Here is a 9,791-nt window from a genome sequence, read left to right as displayed (position 1 = left end):
TCACCACAATCAAGGTAATAAACATATCCATCACCTCCAAGAGTTTTCTCCTGACTCTTTGTTCTTCTCTTTTCCTTATTAACTTTGGCAATGTTAGAAATGCTTGTTCCCCAGTGTCATAAAGAAATAGCACTTGAATATAAATTTAATTTTCTCAGCAAGGCCACTTTTTTACTTTCTGCAGAAAGGGTACACTTGCCATCAGTTTTGCCACAAGAATACATTGAACAAAGGAGACAGGGTCATTTATAACTTGATGCGTCCACCCTACTGCTGTGTCTGGTTTCCATTGGCTGGAACGGGACCTCACATTCTGTATTTGTCCTGATTGACTAGCAACTTAGAACTTTTCAAAAGAGGCAAAGGCAGAGGAGAACAAAGGAAGGAGGAAGTAACTTGTGGAATGCCAAGGTAGGTAAAAACACCTCCAAATAAAGAAGAGGAACAGGCTATGACCTAATGCTTGCTTGGACCAGCATAAGCATGCCAGGGCAAATATTTAGGCTAAATTGTGGGAGTTAAGAACACAAAGTATATTGATTTTTTTTTATTATGGTTAGCAGATATTTAAGAATGTTAGCCCAGGTGTTTCAATAAATTTTGTTTCTAAGAGAAGTTACTATTTGTTCTTAATTAGATGGGGAGGAAACTCTCTTTGAAGAGGAACCTCTATTCACATTTTACAGCAAGAACATATAATGTTAGATCAACCCTCTTAACAATTTTGAAGTTTACATACAGTATTGTTAACTATAGGCACAGTGTTGTACAACACATCTCTAGAACTTATTCATCATGTAAAACTTAAACTTTATAGCCATTAATTAAACAGCAACTCCCCATTCTCCCTTTTCCCCAGCCCCTACCACCCACCATTCTATCTCTGCTTCTGTAAGTTTGACTATTTTAGATTACTCATATAACTGGAATAATGTAGTATTTGTCCATCTGTGACTGATTTTATCACATAGTAGTTCTTTAAGTTTTTAAGGAACTACCATACTCTTTTCAACTGGCAAGTGGAAGTACATGAAACTGAAAACCTTCTGTACAAAAAATGAAATAATCAACAGAATGAAAAGGCAAATTATGAAATAAGAGAAAATATTTGCAAACCATGTATCTGACAATGAGTTGATATCCAAAATGTTAAATATCAAAAAAAAATTTCTTAAAGAAATGTCTACAATTCAATAGCAAAAAAAGAATACAAAAGAACAACAATAGCAAAAAGCAAATAACCTGATTAAAAATAGGCAAAGGACTTGAATAGAATAGATAGTTCTCCAAAGAAGACATACAAATGGCCAATAAATAGGCATGTAAAAAGGTGCTCATCATCACTAATCATCAGTGAAATGCCAATCAAAACTACAAAGAGTTCTCACTGATAAGTGGGAGCTAAACAATGAAACACATGGACACAGGGAGGGGAACAACACACACGGGGCCTGTCGTGGTGGGTGGGGGTTGCTAGGGAACGGAGAGCATTAAGACAAATAGCTAATGAATGCAGAACTTAATACCTAGGTGACGGGTTGATAGGTGCAGCAAACCACCATAGCACACATTTACCTACGTAACAAACCTGCACATTCTGCACATGTATCCAGGAACTTAAAGTAAAAGAAAAAAATCACAGAGCTATCTCCTCATAGCGTTTTGGATATTTAATATTTAGGATGGCTATTACAAAAAAAAAAGATAAAAAAGTACACACACACACAGACAGACACCGACACACACACACACACACACACACAGACACACACACATACACACATTTTTAAAGCATTCCACAAAGATTAAAAACAAGATTGAAATCAGAGGGACCAAATGAAATTTTTACCTTTGTGGGTACTGAAGGTAATAACATGGAATATCCTGTTGCCAAAATGTCTTTTGAACTTGAGGTCAGAGATAGCAGTCCAATAGTGCTAAATTCACAGAATGTTCTTCAGCTATTGGGCAAATTAAATAAAAAATATCACCAGGCCAGATGGCATTCACTAGAAGTGTTTTAAAGAAATTCTTTTAATGAGAACCTGGTTTCTATTCTCTTGAGTTTTTCACGTCATAATCTGTTTCACCTCTGAATTTCCAGCTCTCAGAGCACCTACGGCACTTGTCATTTTTTGGCAGTTTATTGACAATTATAAGCACTTATGGGTGTGAAATATAAATTAATGATATTGAAGCCCAAATAAATGAGGGATACAATTAGGTTTCCAACTATAGTGATCAGTGAATGCTTGTCCATAAATGTTATCCTGAAATAGTCCTATTTGATGTCTTGTGGAGAGGAGGCAAAGATGAGTTTTATAATGAGGACCATTAATGTCCTGGATGCCAATCTTTTGGCCCCTGTGAAAATTATCAGGCAGAGAAGAAAAGCACCTGCAATCATAAAGTGAATTAGAGATTTAATATGGGATACACAGATAATTGCCACAAAAATAGTAGGAGAAAATGAGAAAAGACATTCTGGGCAACATAGAAATGAGAAATTGACGAAAAGTCTTGAAAAGCTTTCCTCCAATTCTTTCTTAGTCTCTTTTTTCTCTCTTTCTTTCCTTCTTTCACTCTTTCTTTCTCTTTTTCTTTCTTTCTTTTTTTTTTTTTTTTTTTTGACAGAGTCTTGCTCTGTCACCCAGGCTGGAGTGCAGTAGCATGATCTCGGCTCACTGCAACCTCCATCTCCTGAGTTCAAGCAGTTCTCCTACCTCAGCCTCCTGCGTAGCTGGGATTACAGGCACCTGCCATCACGCCCAGCTAATTTTTGCATTTTTAGTAGAGATGGGGTTTTACCATGTTGGCCAGGCTGGTCTCAAACTCCTGACCTCAGGTGATCCACCTGTCTCGGCCTCCCAAACTGCTGGGATTATAGGCATGAGCCACTGTGCCCGGCCCTTATTTCTTATATTCATATTTATTCATTTCCTTCAGTAAAGAAAGGAAACAAAAGGAATAAATTGAACATAACTTTAAAAAAGTGAATGTTTTCTCTGCTTTTTGTGCAATTATCCAGCAGGTTTATTGAAGTAAACTGGCAAGTGTCATCTCCTTTGTCCTTTGTTACCAAATGGCTGAAGTTTTTATAATTCTCTTTCCTGTTGTCTTTGACATCTTTATGAAAATCCTGACATGACCCACCCTAGAGGATAACTGATTACTGAGACTTTGATAAAAGTAATTTCCCAATATCATTGTTATGATTGGTTTTCTTCATTTGGTTGAGGACAAAGGGCAACTATCATACCTGTTTCTCTTTCAGATGTCAGAAGATTTTCTTTTTTCTTTCTTTTTTTTTTTTTTTTTTTTTTTGAGATAGAGTCTTGCTCTGTCACCCAGGCTGGAGTGCAGTGGCACGATCTCTGCTCACTGAAAGCTCTGCCTCCCGGGTTCATACCATTCTCCTGCCTCAGCCTCCCGAGTAGCTGGGACTACAGGCACCTGCCACCCCGCCTGGCTAATTTTTTGTATTTTTAGTAGAGACGGAGTTTCACCATGTTAGCCAGGATGGTCTCAATCTCTGATGTCAGAAAGTTTTGAGGGCAAAACTGATCAGACTACTTTAATGCATAATTTCAGAAAGGAGATACAAAGTTTGCAGGTTTGGAAATGAGAACAAACAGAAATGGGAAAAAGGAAATTTTGAGAACTCAGTCTAAAGAAAACAGATTCTCCAAATGACAATTCATAAAAAGCTCTCATAGGTCAAGAATTCCCTGTTTCAGCTACCATAATAGACACTTTGTATACATAATTCAAATGAATTCTTCCAGCAACCTTATGAAGTAGGTTGTAACAAAGCTGAAGTAGTCGCTCACTGCAACACGTAGGTATTATCTATTGTTTAACAAGCAGTGATAGAACACGTGACATAGAAAGACCACTCTGCTGGATGCTAGACTGGACATGGCAGAGATAGCTCCTTCCACTCTGGCCACGAAGCTTATTCTCTATGGGAAAATCAGATATTAAATAGTTATGTTCTAGGACTTTTCTAATGGGACAACTAACAAAACATGGAGGCCAAGGAAAGCCTTTTCAAAGTATTGATATTGAAGTTGAAACCTAAAGAATATGAATAACCTGAGCTGAGTTAGATGTCTCTTCATTGTAATGCTATAGTTCACTCACCATACCACTATGTGCTCTCAGCTTACTTGCACCACATAATTCATAAAGATAGAAAGGCTAAGATATTGCTCCTGTTCTAGATGGTCTCACAGAAAATGTACAAAAACAGATGATGAGATTTGAGGACACTGAACAAGACCTGATGTCCTAAACATTAATTCCACTTTCTGGTTAATAATTTGGGAGCTTTAAAAATACTTACATTTTTATTTGTCAATTGTTAAGATACAAATATTCCTAGGATATAAATAATAACTGCCACATACATGGTGCTTACTTTGTGCCAGGTCCTATTACAAGAGCTTTACACGTATTAATTGAATTCATTCTCGTAACCAGCCTGTGAGAGAGACACTAGCCATTAACCTCATTATGTATAAGAGAAAAAGAAGGCACAGAGAGGTTAAGAAAATCCCCTGGGAGCACACAGCAAGTAGGTGGTGATGCAGGTCCCTTTTCTTTTTCTTTTTCTTTTTTTTTTTTTGAGACGGAGTCTCGCTGTGTCTCCCAGGTTGGAGTGCAGTGGCGCGATCTCGGCTCACTGCAAGCTCTGCCTCCCAGGTTCATGCCATTCTCCTGCCTCAGCCTCCCAAGTAGCTGGGACTACAGGCGCCCGCCAACACGCCCGGCTAATTTTTTGTATTTTTAGTAGAAACAGGGTTTCACCGTGTTAGCCAAGATGGTCTCGATCTCCTGACCTCGTGATCCACCCGTCTCGGCCTCCCAAAGTGCTAGGATTACAGGCGTGAGCCACCGCGCCCGGCCTCCCTTTTCTTACTGTCTTGGTCTTTACATTAATTTATCAACCAGTTGATAATAAGACCCTATAATTATAGAACACAGGACAGTTGTCAGGAAGAAATCAGAGGGTAATGGATAAACAGAGTGCAGGGAAGCAAGAAGAACCAGTTACAGGGGGGTTGATTCAGTCCTATCATAAGAGATAACAAGATAAAAAGAAAAACTCCATAAGATTTACTTTAAAAAAATGCTGCCCCTACATGAGCATTTTTACTTATATTAACAGATATGCTCATTTGGACTAGCTGTAAATTAGTGGTCCAATGTGAAACTTCTGGAAGTAAAAAAGTCCTATAAGAAAATTTTAAAGCTATAGCCCTACCTCCAGAAGAAATTCAAACACACATATATTTATATATAATTTTCAGGGTTTGAAGTCCTGTTGGAAATCACCTATGATGCTAGCCATCTCAGGGACTCCTTTTGTTCTTACTATGTCCATTGTGTTGGAATGATTTTATCAAAATGCTAAAGCCAGGGAAAAATCTGTTAGAGTTTACCACAAGAACCTTAGAGAAGATTCTAAAAATCTAACTGATCAGGGCAGCAAAGAGAAGATAAATCATTAAAATATTAAATAATATCTCTTTTCCCTGCATGGCCCTTACTCCTACCACCAATAAACAGATGGCCAGGTCATTATCTTCCTTATTTTATGTGTGTTGGAGGGCAGGAGGTAGAATGTATTAAAAAAAAAATTTCTAGTGGTTTTGGTAAAAGCCTGAAAACTATGTAACTTTTATGTTAGATGTGCAGAAGGGAAAATCGAAAGCCAAGTGACTTTGAGAAAAGGACATACACTTCCAGCTTGATGTGGACTCTGCGCCATGCCAGTTCCCGTAAACGTCGACAGGTCTCAGTGGTGGTGACTTCAGGGTGCATATGGATAGACAGGTCTCTAAGCTCTGGCATTTCTAGGCCTAGAAATTTTTATGTAACCCATCAGAAAGTCAGCAGAATATAATGTCCATGCAACCTTATAAAATGTATTGCTCACTGGCCACCAATATGGACTGAATATGAAAGAACCTTCTGGAATATTTTGTTCAAAATAAGATGCCAAGACCTTTGTATGATTAACAATTGGAAAGGGAACTCCCCATCAATAGCTTATACTAAATTTTTAGACAGGGCACCAAATTCAATTTAATTAGACTTAATAAAAGTAAATAAAAGTAACTTTGCTAGTACAAAGTTATTACACTAAGAATTGTATTGTATCAAGAATATGCTGACTGTCCTCCACATATAACTTGTCTTCTCACCTTTTCTGATTTTTGTACATGTTGTGCTACCAGTCTAAAATGCCTCAAGCTCTATTTGTCAAACTAACTCTGTCCCCCTTAAAAGAGACTTGAAATTAAACTCTTCCAGGTGTTCCCCAATTAAGCTCATACTACAAATGACTCACATAAACAACCATTAAAAATATACACTATAAGGCAAGTATAAGGAATTGTTTTTATTATTTTATGATATTTTCCAAATCCATAGTCCATAATGTTGCGGGAAGTCAGGGACCCCGAACGGAGGGACCGGCTGAAGCCATAGCAGAAGAACATAAATTGTGAAGATTTCATGGACATTTATTCGTTCCCCAAATTAATACTTTTATAATGTCTTATGCCTGTCTTTACTGCAGTCTCTGAATATAAATTGTGAAGATTTCATGGACATTTATCACTTCCCCAATCAATACTCTTGTGATTTCCTATGCCTGTCTTTACTTTAATCTCTTAATCCCATCATCTTCATAAGCTGAAGATGTATGTCGTCTCAGGACCCTGTGATGATTGTGTTAACTTCACAAATTGTTCGTAAAGCATGTGTGTTTAAACAATATGAAATCTGGGCACCTTGATAAAAGAACAGGATAACAGCAATGTTCAGGGAACAAGGGAGATAACCATTAGGTCTGAGTGCCTGGGAGCCAGGCGGAACAGAGCTGTATTTCTCTTCTTACAAAAGTGAATAGGAGAAATATCACTGAATTCTTTTTCTCAGCAAGGAACAGCCCTGAGAGAATGCATTCCTAGGGGGAGGTCTCTAAAATGGCCACTCTAGGAATGTCTGTCTTATATGGTTATAGATAAGGGATGAAATAAGCCCTGGTCTCCTGTAGCACTCCCAGGCCTATGAGGATGAAGAAATTCCTGCCTGATAAATTTTAATCAGACTGGTTGTCTGCTCTCAAACCCTGTCTCCTGAAAAGACGTTAACAATGACAATGTGTGCCCAGTGGGACATGAAACTTCATTAGCAATTTTAATTTCACCCCGGTCCTGTGATCTTGCTCTGCCCCCATTTGCCTTGTGATATTTTATTGCCTTGAGAAGCATGTGTTCTCTGTGACCCATGCCCTATTCATACACTCCTTCCCCTTTGAAAATCACTAATAAAACCTTGCTGGTTTTGTGGCTTGAGGGGCATCATGGAACCTGCCGACATGTGATGTCTCCCTCGGACACCCAGCTTTAAAATTTCTCTCTTTTGTACTCTTTCCCTTTATTTCTCAGACCGGCCAACACTTAGGGAAAATAGAAAAGAACCTATGTTGAAATATCGGGGGCTGGTTCTCCCGATACATAAATATTCAGTGGGCAGATATTGAGATCCACTATATGTTGGCACTCTGAGTTTGAAATATGAAAATAAATATAAAGATATTCCTTGCCTTCAAGAAATTTAACATGGGATTTTGACATATAAAATGTTACTATAAACTTTCATTTGTTCAAGGTGGTAGATACAGTAAGTTTATTGCAACTTTTCCAATCAAAAGAGTGCATTCTCTACCCCTTAAATCTGGGATGGACTTTTGACTTTGTTTGACCAAAAGAATGTGGCAAATATGAGGTTGTGTGAGTTCTGCAACATTGGCCTCAAAAATATGTGCAGATTCCATCTCCACCTTCAGAATAATAAGAATTCCACCACGCTCATGAACGATGAAAGACCACCTAGACAGACAACACAGCTAATAGGTATCACAAAAGCCCCAGACATGAGAGTTAGGTCATCCTGGATCCTCCAGCTCTAGGCAAGAGGCTGGCTCAGTACAGCTACATGAATGAGCCTGGGAAAGGCCAGCATAAGAACTGTCCCATCAAACACAGAATCATGACAAATAAATTGTTGCTTTGACCTAGCAGGTTTTAAAGTGGTTTGCTACACAGTAATAGATAAATATTATACTTGACGTTTCCTTCTAAGTCTTCCTCAATCAGTAGTAGAGAAAAGAACCAAGTGTTATAGACATTCTTCTTATAGGTGAAATAAAAAGAGGTTTATACAATTTCATTTTTCTATATTTGAGCCAGAAAATTAAAATAATTAGGTTATCTTGATATTAATTCCATTTGTAACATTTTTGTACCCTAACATTATTCCATGTAATTATGGAAATATTTTGCCAAAAAAGGGGGAAAGATGAAAAGGCACATGTGGGTGACATACTGGCTTTCAGCAGAGTTCTATGGTGCTCAGGCACCAGTATTCACCATCTCTCCTGTTGTCTGTTGCTTGTGTTCAAGGATTTGACTTACTTGTGCCAGAAATTGAATTGAACCAGTGAAACCCAATTAAATCCTACCACTTCCAAAAGCATAAAATAATTCATCATTTTGGATTGTTTTCATAGAGAATAAAAATTAGTTTGAAGGTGGGATGAAGGGGGAAGGAAACATCAATAAAGCAAAAACAACTAGAATCACAGAAATCATTAACATTGATTTCATTCCAGGACACTTGGTCAGCCAGAAAGCTTGTGCTGCTGAGTGAAGAAGGCAGATTTGGTGCATTGGAAGACAGCAACTGCAGATGCAGAGGAACTGGAAGGGAATCACAGCTGGTCATGCCAAAGGGGCAGCCCAACCTATGTTCATTCAGCAACCATGGCAGTTTCTCTACATCTGTTTTCAATTCGAGCTCCAGGTCATGTTTTTCAGTTAGAATAAAATGTGAAAACTATAAAATAGACCCCCCTAATTTCTTTTCCCATATCCCTTCCTCATGATCTTTTATCTTCTTGAATGAAGGAGTATCAAGGTTATTGAGCTGAGAAGTGGAAACTAGTGGACTTTTTTAAAGGCAAGACAGATAATATCAGATTTGATATGATAGGCATGAGAAATACATAAAAAGTAATTACAGACTTTCAAAAAGTGCCTTTACACTTTTCTAGTGATAAGCCTTTACAGTCAAACACCGATGCCTCCCCTCATTACCAAAAGCTAAATTTAAAGGAGCTACACGGAATGCTAACTAAGCATAGTAAAATGGTCATCATCATCACAACAGAGTTTTTATCAGGTGGAAATTCTTTGTCTCTGTGCTCAAACCTAAAGATCCTCTAATTTTTGTCACTCCCTTCACTAGCTCACCTCTGCCAGTGTGACTATTTTCATGCATGCCACTTGAAGGTTGACTCTTCTCTTAGATTGTCCTTTTGGCATACACTGATTGCAGTAAATACCATCTTGCACTTTGGAGCCTGTGAAACACTCTTCACTTCTTGGCCACACTCCATCCATGTTCCTATCTAAACTATAAATTACTTAACGGTAGAAAAGTTGTCTTATTTTTCCTGCTTTTCTCCTCAGTGACAGTGTTTACTCAAATCTAGAATTTAAAATAAGCAGAAAAGTGTTAAAAGTATTTTGTTTGTCTAGTAATAATATATAGACCTTTTTTTTTTATTTAAAATGAGTTAATGTAAGTCAAGCATTTATACCAGTGCCTGACATATAGGAATGACTATACTGCTCTTATTGCCATTATCATAATTACTTGTATATAACCTACAAGTTGATACATAAAATTTTCATTACAAGCTCTTGATTTCTTGA

General features: G+C 37.7%; 1 long non-coding RNA gene across 1 annotated transcript, besides 1 other annotated feature; it reads left to right on the top strand.

Moving 5' to 3' along the window:
* The first annotated feature begins 373 nt into the window (after nucleotides 1-373).
* LOC105375524 (uncharacterized) lies at nucleotides 374-8,918 on the top strand. Its single transcript, XR_928033.2, has 3 exons — nucleotides 374-411; nucleotides 5,693-5,838; nucleotides 8,687-8,918. It is a non-coding gene; the product is annotated as an uncharacterized LOC105375524 (long non-coding RNA).
* Nucleotides 6,926-7,126: a silencer, noted in NCBI's record as "peak6766 fragment used in MPRA reporter construct". NCBI's record gives its function as "represses an SCP1 promoter by STARR-seq MPRAs in K562 erythroleukemia cells {active_cell/tissue: K562}" and the evidence as "EXISTENCE:reporter gene assay evidence [ECO:0000049][PMID:32103011]".
* Nucleotides 8,919-9,791: the final 873 nt, after the last annotated feature.

The sequence above is a fragment of the Homo sapiens genome, chromosome 7 (genome assembly GCF_000001405.40).
Source record: "Homo sapiens chromosome 7, GRCh38.p14 Primary Assembly".
NCBI lineage: Eukaryota > Metazoa > Chordata > Mammalia > Primates > Hominidae > Homo > Homo sapiens.
The sequence above is the reverse complement of the archived record's forward strand: the minus strand, read 5'-3'. Positions and strand labels throughout refer to the sequence as shown.